This window comes from Homo sapiens, chromosome 2 (assembly GCF_000001405.40).
Source record: "Homo sapiens chromosome 2, GRCh38.p14 Primary Assembly".
Taxonomy (NCBI): domain Eukaryota; kingdom Metazoa; phylum Chordata; class Mammalia; order Primates; family Hominidae; genus Homo; species Homo sapiens.
The window spans coordinates 105,367,556-105,384,019 of NC_000002.12; the positions used below are offsets into that span (position 1 = coordinate 105,367,556).

The 16,464-nt window shown below is 46.3% G+C and overlaps 2 protein-coding genes across 13 annotated transcripts in view, besides 3 other annotated features; one reads left to right on the forward strand and one right to left on the reverse strand.

The window, feature by feature from the left end:
- Positions 1–16,464, forward strand: part of C2orf49 (chromosome 2 open reading frame 49) — a 48,360-nt gene that overhangs the window by 30,016 nt on the left and 1,880 nt on the right. For both annotated transcript variants that reach the window (XR_007081585.1, XR_007081586.1), the window contains one exon: positions 14,143–14,224. The gene's annotated coding sequence lies outside the window, so the exon portion shown is untranslated. The remainder of the gene's footprint in view (positions 1–14,142; positions 14,225–16,464) is intronic.
- Positions 1–16,464, reverse strand: part of FHL2 (four and a half LIM domains 2) — an 80,818-nt gene that overhangs the window by 9,844 nt on the left and 54,510 nt on the right. For 8 of the 11 annotated variants that reach the window (NM_001318896.2, NM_001039492.3, NM_001450.4 and 5 more), the window contains 2 exons: positions 6,004–6,178; positions 15–184 (listed from right to left, as the gene is read on the reverse strand). In NM_001318896.2, coding sequence (NP_001305825.1) covers positions 15–184; positions 6,004–6,178 — 345 coding nt within the window. Of the gene's footprint in view, positions 1–14; positions 185–6,003; positions 6,179–10,440; positions 10,563–16,464 lie in introns of all 11 variants that reach the window. The other 3 variants (NM_001318897.2, NM_001318898.2, NM_001318899.2) reach the window with 2 other exon arrangements.
- Positions 1,855–2,356: an enhancer, noted in NCBI's record as "H3K4me1 hESC enhancer chr2:105985867-105986368 (GRCh37/hg19 assembly coordinates)". NCBI's record gives its function as "activates a minimal SCP1, AML or CMV promoter by ChIP-STARR-seq in naive H9 embryonic stem cells {active_cell/tissue: H9 hESC(naive)}" and the evidence as "EXISTENCE:reporter gene assay evidence [ECO:0000049][PMID:30033119]".
- Positions 2,357–2,856: an enhancer, noted in NCBI's record as "H3K4me1 hESC enhancer chr2:105986369-105986868 (GRCh37/hg19 assembly coordinates)". NCBI's record gives its function as "activates a minimal SCP1, AML or CMV promoter by ChIP-STARR-seq in naive H9 embryonic stem cells {active_cell/tissue: H9 hESC(naive)}" and the evidence as "EXISTENCE:reporter gene assay evidence [ECO:0000049][PMID:30033119]".
- Positions 6,340–6,619: an enhancer, noted in NCBI's record as "active region_16316". NCBI's record gives its function as "activates an Ori minimal core promoter by ATAC-STARR-seq in GM12878 lymphoblastoid cells {active_cell/tissue: GM12878}" and the evidence as "EXISTENCE:reporter gene assay evidence [ECO:0000049][PMID:35858748]".

Consider the following 16,464-nt stretch of genomic DNA (forward strand, 5'->3'; position numbering starts at 1 on the left):
GGCATCTGAGATACCTTTTTGCACTGAACGCACTGCATGGCATGTTGTTTCTCATAGCAGGGCACACAGAAATTCTGATTGTCTTTGGGGATGAAACTCTTGGTTCCAATTGGCTGCTGGCAGCGGTGGCAGATGAAGCAGGTCTCATGCCAGCTGCTGCCCTTGTACTCCATCTTGCGGGTACCTGTCATCAGGGTCAAGAGGAACACAGCAGAGTTATGGTTAGAGGGGTGTGGAGTCCCAGCAATCTGCCTTCAGAGCTTGCTGCCCTCTAGTTTTATGACCAGAGCAAGCCACTTCAGCTCTTGAAGGCTCGCCTCTACATGGAGGTAATTCCTATTTTGTGCAGGGCGTGGACTTTGTCTTTTGGTTCACTACTGTACACCCAGCTCCTAGAACAACACGTGTACATTTTAGGCACTTAACATTTATTTATTGAATACCGTGGTTAGGAATGTTAAATCTAAAAAAAGTTAAGTCTCTCTCAGCAATGCAAAGTATAAAGAGAAGTGTGGCATAGCTCCGATGAATTCCCATGGAGCATGACTTTTGGAGTCTAGGGACTGTATTCACCTATTGCACACCTGATAATGAACACCCCGTCTGGTTCACAGCAGGATGGAAATGGCTAGAGTGTGAATGAACCTGGAACCTCGAACCTGATTCAGTGAGCAGCCTCTACAACACTCACTTTACATACTGCCTGTTGAACCAAGTTGTGATGTATCTAGGTAGTTTTATGCACTGTACTAAGTGCTATAATTAAAACCTACATGTAGTTTTTTTTTGTTTTCGAGACAGGGTCTCACTCTGTCACCCAGGCTGGAGTGCAGTGGTGCGATCCTGGCTCACTGCAGCCTTGAACATCTGGGCTCCAGGGAAACTCCTGCCTCAACCTGAGTAGCTGGAACTACAGGTGCACACCACCATGCCTGGCTGAAATCTTCATGTGTTACTTGTACATCCCATTTAGTAATTGCCTAAACCTACGCCATCCATTGTCTTTTGAATAACTATTAGCATTTGATACATTTCTACCATTTCTCCAAGTGAACTGAGGAGCTCTAGAGAACTGAAACACTTATGGGTCACCCCTGCCACCACCAAGCTGGACTCACTGCAAGTGCTCGGTGTCTGTTGACTGACATTTTTTCATTTTTGTTTGCCAGAAAGAAGTGTATCTATTTATAGTAACGGATGATTCCAGATAGGCGTATAAACAAGTACCCTTCATATAAAGCAAAGGTAAAGAACAATCTGGGGAAATAAGTATCAGGGACAAAGAAAGAGGAAAGTGTTGTAAGTGCCCGGACTAGCTGAGGGGCCTGGCCACTGTGTAAGACCAAATCCAGACTGCTGCCTGCTTTTCAAATGAAGTTTTATTGGAACACAGCCACGCCCATTAATTTACTTCCATTGTTTACATCCGCTTTTAAGCTAGACGGCCGAGTAGTGTGCAGCTGTGTGCAGTTGTGCAGTTGTTGTGTAGTTGTAATAGTTGAGTAGTTGTGACAGAGACTGTATGGTCCACAAAGCCCCAAATATTTATCTGATTTTTGAAGGAAAAATGTTGCCAATCCCTGGGGACTGTGGCATGAGGGTCACATACATGTGACTTCAACTGGGGGTCAGGGAATGATGGGGAATCAAGCCGACAGAGGGACTGCCCCGCTCCAGACCAGGTGGAAGCAGCTGCAGTAACACAGGTGGCTTATAGGAGTCTATAGACTAGTCCATAGCTCTCAGCCCCAAAATCTTATGGTCCCAAGGACAAAGCTAGGGGTTGTATTTTAGCTGGCTAGAAAGTTGGTCATGAAATGTCTGTCCTCCAGTAATTAGGAATGTGCTGAGAATTATCACGATTGTTATTTAGGATCATTTTCTCAGCTTCCTGTACTTCCAAGACCAGACATTTGAGATTATATAAAATAAGCAGGGTGTGTGTTGGGGGGCAATGTGTGAGAGGGAATTTGGGATGGTGACACGCAGCGATCTTTTAATTCAAAACTAAGCTGTACAATCTATGGAATTCAATTGTGGGGTGATGAATCCTAAAACAAACATTACATGAAGCAATTGAAATTCAAGTAAAAATAGTGGAAGGACTTTGAATTCACAAAGATTTTCTTCAACCTCCATGCATACTTTTGTCACTTGCTCTTTGGATCTCTGACATTCATTCTGATCAAGCAGCCCAGAAGCCAAAGGATTTTGCCAATGAATATGGGGCAATTATGACTCTCATGGCATTCTTGTCGAGTTCTGAAATAAGTCTGATCAGATCAACACCAGTTCGAGGGCAACTCTACGTGCAGGGAATGCACAGGGCACCTGGAGCCTCAGGGACATGGCGCGTGCACCTCAGGCATGGCGACAGCAGTGGCCGCAAGCCTGCATGGTCATATGCAGCAATACCGGCAGGTGGCAGGAGCGTTCCTTCTCCTAACTGAATCGCACACTCTGAACCAAGTCTCCCGCAGGCGGAAGCGCAGTCTTGAAGAAGGGATGTCTTAATCTGATTCAAATAGTCAAATGAGGCTGGCTGCGGTGCCTCAGCCTTGTAATCCCAGCACTTTGGGAGGCTAAGGCGGGAGATCTCTTGAGCCCAGGAGTTGGCGACCAGCCTGGGCAACATAGAGAGTCCCTGTCTCTACCCCCCCAAAAAAAAAATTAGGCGGGTGTGGTGGTGTGTGCCTGAGGTCCTAGACACGTAGGAGGCTGAGGTGGGAGGATCATTTGAGCCCGAGAGGTCAAGGCTGCAGTGAGCAGTGATCGTACCACTACTCTCCCGCCTGAGCGAAAGAGCGAGATCCTGGCTCAAAAAAAAAAAAAGTCAAATGAGGAGCCAGAAATTTGGTTGCAGGGTTGGAGACAGAATCGCTACTTGAGTCTGCTCAGAGGCTGTGGTGCATCTGTAAGCAACGTCTGCTAATAGGGGCGCGAGAGCCGGTAAACCCCAGCACTGGGGTTACTGATGGTATTCCAGTTTCCTGATTGGTCATCAGGAAACTGACTTGTGTGGGGGGTGTGGAGCTGGTGGGTGAGTTTTTCACTTGTCCTCTAAATGTAAATTCACCGCAAAAGCTGTGCACTGACGCTGTAAACCCATATTCATCTTGAATGGGTTCTAACACTTTTAAAAATCAAACCCAGGCAAGCAAGTGCTTTGATTCAGTGTTTTGTCGGTGCTGGTTTGTTTTGCATACACCGGGATTCTTCTAGACGCCCTGCCTTTGGTGCCCAGTCCGTTTCTTCTGGCAGAGGCACCTGTAAAATGGGGATGAAGCCATCCAACCCAGGGAACACCGAAGATTCAATGGGATTCTGTAAAGCAGCAGGGTCTGACGCCTGTGTGTGTGCTCAGGGGCTGGAAGCTGTAGCTGTGTTGTTATTATTACTACACAGCATTTCTTACCACAGAGCCTGAATTCTTGCTTCCCCCATTCCTTAGTAGAAGAGGCTGCCGGCCAGTTAATTCTCAGATATTCAGTATGGGTTACCTCTCACTGAACATTAGGTTTTTACTTCTTATCTGATCATGTTTTTCTTTTCTTTCCCTCCCCAGTAAACACCATGAGAAAGGGAAGGTGTGATGGTTAATTTTATGTGTCAGCGTGGCTGGGCTCTGGTACCCAGTTGTTTGGTCAAAAAACAGGTTTACTTGTTGCCGTGAAGGTGTTTTTTAGATGTGACTAACATCTAAGTCAGCAAGCTTCGAGTGCAGCACGTTACCCACGTATCAGGGCCGGGCTTCATCTAATCGGTAGTGGGCCTTAGGGGCAAAGACTAAGGTTTCCCTAAGGGCAACTAATTCTTCTCAAGACTGCAATAGACACACCCTGCCTGAGTTTCCAGCCTGCCGCCCTACGGAATTCAAATGCTCCCATTTGGAACTGCAGTATCATCTCTTCCCTGAGCCTCCAGCCTGCTGCCCTGTTCTATAGATTCCAGACTTACCGCCTCCACAATCTCATGAGCCAATCCCTTGAAATCTCTCTCTCTCTCTCTCTCTCTCTCTCTCCTTATGTATGTATCTATGTGTATACATTTCCTTGATTGATTCTGTTTCTCTGGAGAACGTGACTAACACAGAAAGTCAAGACAGGTGAAAAATTCAAAATCCGGGAAATATGCATACTTTTTATGTCATGGTTGGTGCTAACAGTTAAAGTCTTTAAACAGCCCCTAGAGTCCCCAGTGGAAGCTTCCTTGGGCCCTTGTTCAGGAAACTAGTAAGGGTTTAATTTGTTTTTCAATTAATGTCGTGGTTCTTATTGTTACTGAGTGTTGTGTCTCTGCAGTGACTCCCTGTGGGGCAGGACACAGGTCAGCCTGGCTTTCTACGGGCTTCAATTCTCATTTGCACTGTCGCACAGCACTGGGGCCCGAGTTTCCAGCCTCTGCAGGATCCACATGATCTTAGAAGAGGCCTTCTTGCCTGGAGCTGCCCCATCTAAAGTCACCATGCAGCCCTTCCAGCTGTTTTCCCTTACAGCTGCCAACAGGGCTGGGACTGTGTCAGCCTGGGCATTTTTCTTCCCTGTCATAGTGTGTCACAGTTGTTTTAAAGTTATATTAACCAGAGAAATGTAGTGGCAGTAAGAAACCATCTTACCAAAGGTCAGATTACCTCCTTGCCTTTTTAAAAAATGATTATTCCTTATCCTACATAACTTTCTTTTTTTTTTGAGACGGAGTCTCACTCTGTCACCCAGGCTGGAGTGCAGTGGCGTGATCTCAGCTCACTGCAAGCTCCATCTCCTGGGTTCAGGCCATTCTCCTGCCTCAGCCTCCCGAGTAGCTGGGACTACAGACGCCCGCCACTATGCCCGGCTAATTTTTTGTATTTTTAGTAGAGACAGCGTTTTACCATGTTAGCCTGGCTGGTCTCAAACTCCTGACCTCGTGATCCGCCCTCCTTAGCCTTGCAAAGTGCTGGGATTACAGGGGTGAGCCACCACACCTGGCATCCTACATATATTTCTAAACTATTTCCCATATGTCAGTCTCTTCAGTATTTCTTTATTATCAAAAACAAAGCAAACCAACATGATGAAACCCCATCTCTACTAAAAATACAAAAATTAGCCAGGTGTGGTGGTGCACGCCTGTAGTCTCAGCTACTTAGGAGGCTAAGGCAGAAGAATCTCTTGAACCTGGGAGGCAGAGGTTGCAGTGAGTCAAGATTGCACCACTGAACCACATTGGCCAGGCCGATTTCAAACTCCTGACCTCAAGTGATCCACCCACCTCAGCCTCCCAAAGTACTGGAATTACAGGTATAAGCCACCGCACCCAGCTTCTTTCTGTATTTTGAAATTCCACATATTTTTGTCCACTTTGCTTTTTAAAATAAAAGATTCTGCTCTCCTACATAAAAAACAAAACAAAACAAATAACTCCCCCCACATACACACACAAAAAAACCATGAGGGACACAGTCCCATCAACACACAAGGCACCTTTATTGCCATCCTCGGCACCTGGCCCAGTTGCGGCTGTGCCCTTTTTGACTGTCCGTCTAGAACACCAACTCTACAAGGGCAGAGGACCAGGTGCACCTCGGCTCACACCCTACGAATGCTCAGCTCGAGCCCAGTGCCTGGCACGCAAGGGCACCATGCACACTTGGTGAAATAACTGAATGAGTACAAATTCAGCAGGTAGAAGGGAAGAAAAGAGAAACTATCTATGGTGGTGGGAGAGTGGGGGCTGATGCAGGAGATGTATTTTTAAGGGGGATACCCACCATTTTCTTACTCTAACAATTTGACTGCATAACACTGCCCCACGTGCACAGCAAAAAGATCCCGTTACTGCCCATGATAGAACCTGTATGTCCCTGCTTCGTAAGTACTCTAAATACTCCTCTGCAGTTCAAGGTCAAACTGGAAAGTCAACACGAGTGTCTGGAACCAAGTCAATGTGAACAGGGGGTCAGAGGAACGTGCACAAGGCTTGAAGCTAGACTGGCTCACGCATGAGAAAGGAGTGCCTCCTGACCTGGCATGATGGTCTTCTTGCATTCCTGGCACTTGGATGAGTACTCGTTGGAATAGCAGTCTGTACAGAGCAGCTGGTCCTCCTTGGCAGCAAAGGGCTTGTCCACCAGTGAGTTTCTGCACTGCGAGCAGTGGAAACAGGCTTCATGCCAGTGCCGGTCCTTGTAAGACAAGTCCTGTGGGGCCAGACCACACAAGACAGTCAGAGGCAGGACAGGAGGGCTTGGACCCACAGCATAGGGGCCCCTTGCGAATCTGCAGGGCAAACAAGGAAAGAAGTTGGGCCGAGGCACCCTGGCGCACCCACATTCATGCCCCAGGACCACCTAACTGCTGAAATCAATTAAGACTAGGCTGCTTTTCTCTTGCTGCATTTTAGAGCAACAGGTTAGACAGATGTGCATGTATGCACATGTCTGTGTGTGAGAGATGCTTCTAAAAAACAAAGGGATTTCCCTTATGTATTGCCTGCAAGAAAGAGAAACAGAAAACATGAACACCTATCAATTCGTCTCACACCACATCCGGTGACAGAGAAACAGACTGCAGGACATCCTTGGCTGAGGGAGCCCTGCCCAACTCAGATCACTGTGGTCACCGGCATGGCAGAGAGGCTCTGGGTGTCGGGATGTTCACAGGAGGCCCAAGGACTGTTTGGTGGGAGACGGTCAGGAGAGACTGTGTGTGTGGGTGCTACCTCTGTGGGTGGCCGTGAGCTGGGGGAGGAAGGGAATTTCAGGCAGAGAAAGAGCACAGACACAGAAGATCTGGGGACGGGGGGCATGTCAGATTGGAGGGACCACAGGCCAGGGGCGAGGTGGGAGGGCCCCCCGGCCTGGCTGGACTGGAAGATATGGCTGCCTTTTTGCCTTTTATGTCTGTGTAGAGATTCCATTGATCCTGAAGGCAGTGGACAGCTGCTTTTCAACAGGAGAGTGAAGTGCTCAGACTGGGGGACGGGTAAGGATGTGGGAGTGGAGGGGCGTGAGGGTGGGAGAAGTGAGACAAAAACTGAGCACACATGAGAGAGGCCCTGAGAAGACAGACGTGTGCTTTTGAGTAAAAGATGAGGGAGAGAAAGGAGCCCCGCAGAAAACTCGACTCCACACTTGGCTTCATCTTGCCTGAGGAATAAGAGAACCCTCCATATTTGCCTTTTAAAAATGACATACGGCATTTTTAAAGTGCCAACACAAAATTAAAATAACAATCTCTTTATGCCCAGCTTTATCTTAGAAAGGATATGTTTCTATTGCTGTCTTTGTGTTCCCAGCTCTGACCCCAAATCATCATCCATTTATACATGAGGCAGAAACAGAGTATTAGGCTCTGCACGGTTTCCTGGGCAGGCTTCCAGTTGGTAGGTATCCTGAACAGGGCACAGGAGGGCTGTTCACGCGATGGCCCTGAAGAAGAGCCTGCCCACGATGTCTCTGTTACTGAAACCGAAGTCGAAGCTGGAGTTATGCTGAATGTAGGATGTGAAGACATGGATCTTGGCCTTGATTAGAAAGTCCTAAAACACCAGCTAACTCGGAACCAAAACTAGAACAAACAGTTCTCTTTTGCTGAAGTATGTGTGTGTGTGTGTGTGTGTGTGTGCGCGTGCGTGTGCACATGTGTGCATGTATGTGTGTTTTCCCGGAACCTGGAACCAAACTAGTTATTTGATTTAGTGATCTCTTTGCGCATTTTGTTTTAGTTCAAGGAATTTTAAAAATGTGAACGCTGAGACACTTTGAAGACAGTCATGACTATGGCCTTTGTGAGGGGTGACCTCTTGTGCTATCCCTGTTGGAAGTTTGCTTCCTAGAACATCTGGGAATAGGATTATTGCTGACGCAAGACGATAAAGAATGAAGGAGAGGTCAGGAGTTCAAGACAAGCCTGGCCAACATGGCGAAACCCTATCTCCACTAAAAATACAAACATTAGCCGGGCGTGGTGGTGCATGCCTTTAGTCCCAGCTACTTGGGAAGCTGAGGCAGGAGAATCGCTTGAACCTGGGAGGTGGAGGTTGCACAGCCTTGGTGACAGAAGGAGACTCAGTCTCAAAACAAAAGGAATGAAGGTGAGAGGAGCATAGAGTGCTCTCAAAGCTGGACTAAATGCCCTTGTTTCTGCGGAATTCATTCTCACCTGAGCCCAGCACCTCTGGGTATTGTGGGTCCCCTGGGGTAGGCACTGCCTGTCAGGGGGACTCGGGGGCAGGTTGCTGAAATGCCCAAGCCCTCTTCATCCTTGAGAACCCAAACTGGGTATGCACTGGGAGTTGGGGGCAGAGGGCTAACCTGTCTTTTGTATTTTTAGCTTAAAGTATTTTCAGAAATCTGAGGGGAACATCACCTGTGCTTTATTGGTTATTTTGACAAGTGAAATAGAGGACAAACTGCTTTGATTTGAGTTGATGTCTACACATGTGAACTCATGAGAAACAGCAAAGCCCACAATCCACATGGACATCATCATCGTTCGGGAACAGGCATGGTCTCCATTCTTTCCATGCACACGCCCCGGCTTCAAAAAGACATCTGAAACACTAGTGATGACCATCATTACCCCATCTGTGAGCTCCAGGCACGGCACAGCCCTGCAAGGTAAATGTTATTACTGAAGGTCAGAGAAGTTCCGTAACTTGCCCAGTCACATACCTGGCACGGAGCTAAGCCAAGCTTCGAGCTCAAGTCCTCCTGATGCGAAAGTTATTTCCACTGAACCAGCCCAGGCAAAATCCTGGTCGGGTCTGTGTTACTCTTTGCTTTCAAAACAGATAGCCTTGAGGAGATGTGTGTGTGTGTTCATTTAAAAAAATCCAGAAACGACCAAACTCTGGCAACTTTCTAGAACATATTTTGTACCTAAATGAATGTGGCTCAGTATTGCCTTTGTTTAGACTTTGAATAAAATTGAACAAATCATTAGAAGCCCTATCCACCCAAAACAGTAATCTGCCTAATTTAAGAAGAGATGGAGATTTTATTCATGTTATCACTGTTAGAATGCTGATTGTGGAAGAAATGCATTAAGAATAAATTTTGTGTGGAAAACACCATGGCTGATATTAAAAGTAGAATTACCATATGATTCAGCAATTGTACTTTTGGATATATACCCAAAAGAATTAAAAGTAAGGTCTCGAAGATATATTTGTACATCCACGTTCATTGAAGAATTATTCACCATAGCCAAAAGGTGGGAGCAAGCCAGATGTCTATCAATAGGTGAAGGGGTAAACAAAATGTGGTCTGTGCATACAATGGAATTTTATTCAGCCTTAGAAAGGAAAGGAATTCTGACTCATGCTACAGCATGGATGAATCTTGAGGACATGACGTTAAGTGAAACGACAAATCGGTCACAAAAGGACAAATACTGCATGATCTCACACATGTGAGATACTTAGGGAAGTCACATTCATGGAGACAGAAAGTAGAAGAGTGGTTGCCAGGGGCTGGGATGAGAGGGGAATGGGAGTGAGAATGTGTTCTGTAACCCATTCATGCCTGAGGTTGCAATTTTTTGAATTTCTGCAATCAGACCTTGGCGATGATCTTGAGCAGTAAGATATACATAACTCCCACATGCTTAGCATTCCACTAATGGAATACTAGGCGTAAATGGGCTTGATGGGGGTAGTATTTCAGATTTGCAAGAAGCAAAAGCTCTGGGGATTGGTTGCACAGCCATCTGAATGCACTTACTACTGAACAGTACTCTTAACAGTGGTTAAGAAGGTAAGTGTGATGTTCTGTGTATTTTACCATAATTAAAAGAATAAAAAAGTAAGTTTTGGCCAGGCGAGGTGGCTCACGCCTGTAATCCCAGCACTTTGGGAGGCCGAGGCAGGCGGATCACCTGAGGTCATGAGTTCGAGACCAGCCTGGCCAACATGGTTAAACCCCATCTCTACTAAAAATACAAAAATTAGCCAGGCGTGGTGGTGCATGCCTGTAATCCCAGCTACTCAGGAGGCTGAGGCAGGAGAATCTTGAACCCGGGAGGTGGAGGGTGGAGGTTGCAGTGAGCCAAGATCGCACCATTGCACTCCAGCCTGGGCAACAAGAGTGAAACTGTCTCCAAAAGAAAAAAAAGTAAGTTTTGATTGTTATGTAGCAGGTAAAAAACACCGTTTCAGAAGTTACCTCTGTCCCCCTGTGCAGGCGAGCCACCTCATAGAGGACTGCTCGTTTGGGGAAAAGCTGCAGAATGTTTTCCATGACCCAAGAGTCACTGTCTGGCTGGGACAAGAGACCTGAAGGAGTAGGCGCCAGGGAGAGGGGAGGAGATCCTTGGCCTCTCTCTGGGAAGATAGTTGCTTTTTACATGGTGGCTGCCCTGCCCAGGGAGGAGGCATTACGCCCAGAGGGGTGGCAAGTTATCAGTGACAAGAGAGGGAAGAGAAATACAATTTCTAGAAAATTTGCCTTTTGGGACTGACCTTCAAGAAAAACTGAGAGAGAAATCTCCAAGGTCAACAGGAAAGCAAAGCCACTAGATGTCACCACAGCCAGTGCTCCGGTCATTAAGTCCCCAGATGGAGGAAAGAGCACATCAGCATGCCTGCACAGACATGGAAAAGCTGGCTAAGACATGCACATGGGTCCAAGGCACTGCAGAATTCCATTTTTCCTACAGTTAATATTTATGGCACAAAAATGCAATAGCTACAGTTTAAGACTGATTCATTGACACGTGACACTTGAAACTGTCCCTCTAAATGTGGATATTATCCACATGTTACTGGACTAAGCATCCATGCAAGACTTGGAGACCTTCTGCAGGCGCAGCCTGTCCCCCCACACCCTGCTCTATCGGATCCCACCTCGCAAGGTGAAGGCCGCATTCTCTCAGGACAACCTGGTCTGCTATATCCCCTGGGAACCATTTCGCCTTGGCTCCTGCCAGATGCTGCCCTTTCCCTTCAGGCTGGTGTAGAGTGGACACCTGAAAGTGCTCCCCATCCCATTCGGGTTGGGGCATGCAGAGATCCAGGTTTTGTCCTAAGAAACAAAAGACAGAGTGCCTTCCACAAAGTGCCTTTGCCTGCCCAGGGCTGCGTTATCTCGGCATCATTCCCTGGGGCCATCTGCACTCAGCTCCGCAACGTTTCTCTCAGCCTACCTTTATGACTGCACACACAAGCATTCCTGAGTGAATATGCGTGCAGCAGTTCCTAATTCTAAAACCTTCTAAAGGAAACTCTTTTCCCTGAAGATAAATATTAACCTATGCTCACGTTCTTAAGTTTTGTGGTGTACAATAACTAAAAATACTCTGTAAACAAGCTTGCATCATTGTTGTTGGTGGGTCCTCAGTGGGAACAGAACTGGCCCACCTCCCTGCTGCAGTACAGGGTGGTGGGCTTCCTGGGCCAGAAATGCCTGAATGCCTGCTGCATGCAAGCAGGATGGGAGAGCATGAGGTCCCACAGTCCACATCTCTTGTATCACTGTGGGTCAAGCGCCCGCCCCTCTGGGATCCCAGGAGCACGTGATTAAATTGCTTGGTTATTTCACCCTAGGGGTTCAATTCAAGGGCCCAAATGCCAGATTGACTAAACTTAAATCCTGGCTCTGCCCTATGCCACGTACATCACCATTGGGAAGTAATTGAACCTCTCTTGCCAGATTTCTGACCTGTACAGCAGGAATAATGGACCCACTACTGGCTGTAACAAGCATGTATAACAGTTGCTGGTATGTATTACAATTGCTCAATGGATGTTAGTATAAGTCATTATTTAGACCACAGCTAATAATGAGAAGAGTTGCCTCAATGTGTCACTTGCTGAACCTACATTTCCTTATGAAGACAGTCCTATCAATGAGAATATCTGCCACCTTAAAGCTCCACGTTGGTAACTCTACCACTCTACTTTTGTAGGTGCTTTTTCATTTTAAATCTAAAATTCTTTTTCTTAATTCTTCATACCTATTTTGAGCCATACGATAACTCTATGAAATAAAGTTTTATTCTTATAGATGAGCAGATTCAATGTAACGACACCAAAAAGTGTTTTCTCCAACATTCCCACTGCCCTTCCACCTGAAATGATCCGACAAAACTAAACTGTGCTCCTGTTTTTTACCTGGCACGTCAGCCCCTTTGCAGATTGACCCCAACTCGCTTTCCAACCTGACCCTCTGCTCTGGTCCCCTCTTCCTCATCTCCATGCCTTTGACCATACTCTGTCCCTGGCCTTTGAATGCCCTTTCCCTTCTCCCCAAAAGGCCAAATCCCACTTGGCTGCAAGTCCCAGCTGAAATCTCATCTGTTCTGCAAAGCTTCCTTGGCCAGGGCAATGCTGGCTTCAGGGAAGCCATGTGCCACGCCGGCGACCTAGTTTGTATGTCTCCTTCCAAATCCTATTTGGAAACTCGTAGGTAACTAATTATGCCACGGGGTTTCCCTGTCACTCTCTGAATGGGGCGCCCAGTTTGTGTTGTCTTTAGAAGTCTGAGTCAAGTTAATAAATTCATGTCACTGCTTCCTCCTGGACTCGCTTCTTAAGAAAGTTCACAATAAGGAGGAAGTGAGGAAAGACTTTATGATAAGAGGAAGGTAACTCAATACTGCCAGGTTTGATTGTTTTAGAGATCTTGGCCAACATGGTATTCTCTGAGTCTCAGCAGGAGGGAAGATTTTAGCCACACGATTCCCTAGAGCTTAGAGGTAGACTAGAAAATGCCACCAAAAGGCCTAGAAGCGAGATTGTCATTGATTAGACCCGGGTGCCTGAGCCTGTGCTTCCTATCACACTCTGAATCTTTACCTGTGAAGACCTAGTGCCAAGTGACCCTTTTCTTTTCTTCTATCTATCTGTTCTGTCTGTCTATCTATCATCTATCTGTTTAGAGACAGGGGTCTTGCTATATTGCCCAGGCTGGTCTCAAACTCTTGGCCTTAAGTGATCCTCCTGCCTCAGCCTCCCAAAGTGCTGGAATTACAGGCATGAGCCACCACGCCCGGCTCAAGTGACTCTTTCCAAACAGAAAAGCTCCAAACCGATTTTTAGTTTCAGTTATTAGCACCATGCCGGTAGCTTAATTTTGCTATTTCATTAGTACTCCATTGTGAACAGCAAACATGAGTGTAACAGAGATAGCACTTCGATGCTGAGAGGAACAGGGTAAGAAATATGGACACCTTGACAGACTTGCTCAAGAACTTTAAGATGGAAATATCCGGTTTTAAATTCCTCTAGAGAGAAATTGAAAACAAAAAGAAAGAAAAAAAAAGTCTTTTATACTTCCCAGAAAAAAATACCAAGGCTAATCTTGTGCTCACAGAAATGTCATACATTGCAGTAAAATGTTGATAAACATGTACGATTAGGCCCACACACTTCCTTTCTGGTTTTGTATTTTTCCATTGCAGAAACATTCCTAACATGGGCTGTGCCTGTTGCTTGGCTCCGAATGTGTCCTTTTTGAGACTTTAGCTGAGCTTTAGTGGCAAGTGGCCTGGAGGGAGCCCTGGACCCCTCAGTTAATGGAAGGTGGCTCTGGGTGGCAGGGTCACCCAGACTGAAACGTCTGGCTCTCATCCTCCCTCCTTCGCACCCCATTCCACCAGGGCTGGCACCAACCATTCTTCAGATCCATACGATTTCACTTCAGACATGGATTCTCATGTCATTCATGCTCAGCGTTATGAAAAGATATTTTCTGCTTGAGATCATCAGGTTTCCAACTGTACATTCTTTCAAATCCTTACAAATAAAGATGCAGAAAAATGGACAACAGCAGAAATGACAGCACTGTGTTGGCATGTCACAGGTGCTCCCTAGACGTTAACTCACTCAATTACCCCGACAGTCCCGTGAGCTAGGAACCCCAGTGTATAGACATGGAAACGGAGGCTTATAGGTGGCAGGACTTGTCCCCTTCGCGCAGCTTGTCAAAGGTGGAGCCAGGGAGATTTGGTTCCGGGGTCCAGCCTCGGTGCATGCGAGGTCACTGCTGAGCGCTGTGCACCTCTGCTGCTATGTCTTGTGGCTGAACTTTTGGTTTTATGCACTGACAGGCCAAGTTCGTGCACTGACAGGCCCTTCTCATGAAATCCATCCAGACAGCTTTGCTTCTGATCCTAGGACCCTGCTTGATTAAATTCCCTTCACAGACAGATTTTTGTCTTTTAGGAGGAAATCCAAATAAATACGCGTTTTCAGTGCTCGTTACAAACTCTGTGGACAAATTCTACACGGAAGAAGATCCAAGAAGGTAATTTGCTCATTGAGAACTTAAAAACCACCCCAACAAATAAAAAAGCACCAGGTTGGCAGGCTGGACCCTGAGAATGTGACTGGAGTAGGTGCTCTTCCCAGAAAAGGGTCCAGAAAGACCAGCGAGGGAGGCCTGTGTTACACCGAGGACAGAAGGGTGGGTTTTTCAAACCTGACCTTACACCTTTCACTAGGCTTGGTCAGAAACCTTCCAAAATATACTAGGGGCATCTAGATTTAACCTGTATGTGTGAAAACCTTCGTCTCCTATTTCAGAGCCCTGCCAGGTTGCTTTCTGCCAAAATATCACTGAACATTTCTGTCCATTACCAAACATTAACTGAGACTTTTACAGCCAATTTGATCATCACTTCAATGTTTCCTATTAGCTACAAAAGCTGGAAAGAGAGTTTGTGAAACAACTTGAGCCTCAATTCTGCAATGTAATCATCACCATCTAAAGGGGCCCATGAGAAGAGTAGGGGCCTCTGACTGAAGGTCACTTGATTGAGGCCAGGTGGTCACCATCTCTTACTCATAAGGACTGACCACATCTGGCCCGAGAGTCACATAGACAGGGTCCTGCCCGAGGCTGCAGGTAGCAGGTGGCATCACATGCTAGGTGAGGACCCTCCGGGTCTGGGCTCAAATTGTACCTCGGATACTTCCTAATCCCTTTAACCCTTGGCAAGATCCTCATCCTCTCTAGGCCTCAGCGGCTACTCCATAAAATGGAATGAAAAAAGTTCCTACCTATAGGGTGTTAGGAGAAATTTAGATCATGCAGTTTAGGCATTTACAAGTGCCTGGAACAAGTCATCAGGCAATACACAGTGGTTTCAAAGACTACCACTAGAAACTAAACCCTGAATGCTAGTTTCTGATCTGCAGATCTTTTGTTCTTGTTTATTATTTTTTTTTTCTCTTTGTAGCACCCTCCAAGCACATGGGTGGGTATGGTGGCCAGTCCAATTTCATGGCATTGCTTGCAGACCCATGGAACATTCAAAGTCTAGGTTACGTGTGTCGCCCAGGGCTTAAAATCACCAATTTGTTAAATGCACAGTATTAGCAGCTGTCTCTGGAGTTATTGGCCAGCCTATTTTTTATTTTTATTTTTTTAAGATGGAGTCTTGCTCTGTCACCCAGGCTGGAGTACAGTGGCGCAATCTTGGCTCACTGCAACCTCTACCTTCCAGGTTCAAATGATTCTCCTGCCTCAGCCTCCCAAGTAGCTGGGATTACAGGTGCACGCCACCACACCCAGCTTATTTTTGTATTTTTAGTAGAGACGGGGTTTCGCCATGTTGGCCAGGCTGGTCTCCAGCTCCTGGCCTCAAGTGTTCCACCTGCCTCGGCCTCCCAAAGTGCTGGAATTACAGGCGTGGGCCACTGTGCCCAGCCCTATTTTTTCTTTAGTTGGTTGAATTTTTGAAGCCCAGAACGTAGGCAGATCCCCCAAAAACTCTGTAATCAGTCTACGAAAATATTTTGTTAATGCTAACAGGTATCCAAGAAAAGGTTCAGGAAGCATGTAATGTCAGAGGATCATAAAATTGTATTAGCATTGTCTATTCTCCACTATTACACTGGCCATACAAATCAATAATCTTTACCCTTTGAGATCACAGCATTTTCCCAGAGTAACTTAATAGAAATAAAGATTACAATTCAGTGGCTACATAGAGAGGATGTTCAAACTATATAACAGGCTCTGAAGTCTTGCCTGTCTCATTTAAGTAGGTCAGGACTCTCAAAATTAGCCTAATTCCCATAGGCATGCCAACATTTAAAACTCACACACATGAACATGTCCTTTAGAGGGAAGTAGCTGAGGCCTGTGGTGGCTGTGCTATTTTAAGAGAAGAGATTGGCCACCAGACCTAAGAGCACAGTTCCTCTATCAGGTATCTCCCCGCCTGCCAGGATTGTGGGCTTTACTTCCAGAAAAAAACAGGAACATTTTTTTCTATCATTGCTTCCACTACAAACCCAACTACCCGATTATTTTTGAAAGTCAAGAAAAGCACGCCTAAAGCATCAAAAGCCCCAAATGCCAAGGTCTCGCTTCAACTCAATGTCTCTTTTTGTTCCAAAATGTACAAAATCATACAGTGTAACCCCACGTATCTCAAAACATTAATCCGGGTTGAAAAGTTCAGCACAATTCACTCCTGGCTTGACAGCAGCCTTGATGATTTTGGCTCCATTTGGGAGACTCTTGTTTATTTGCTCATA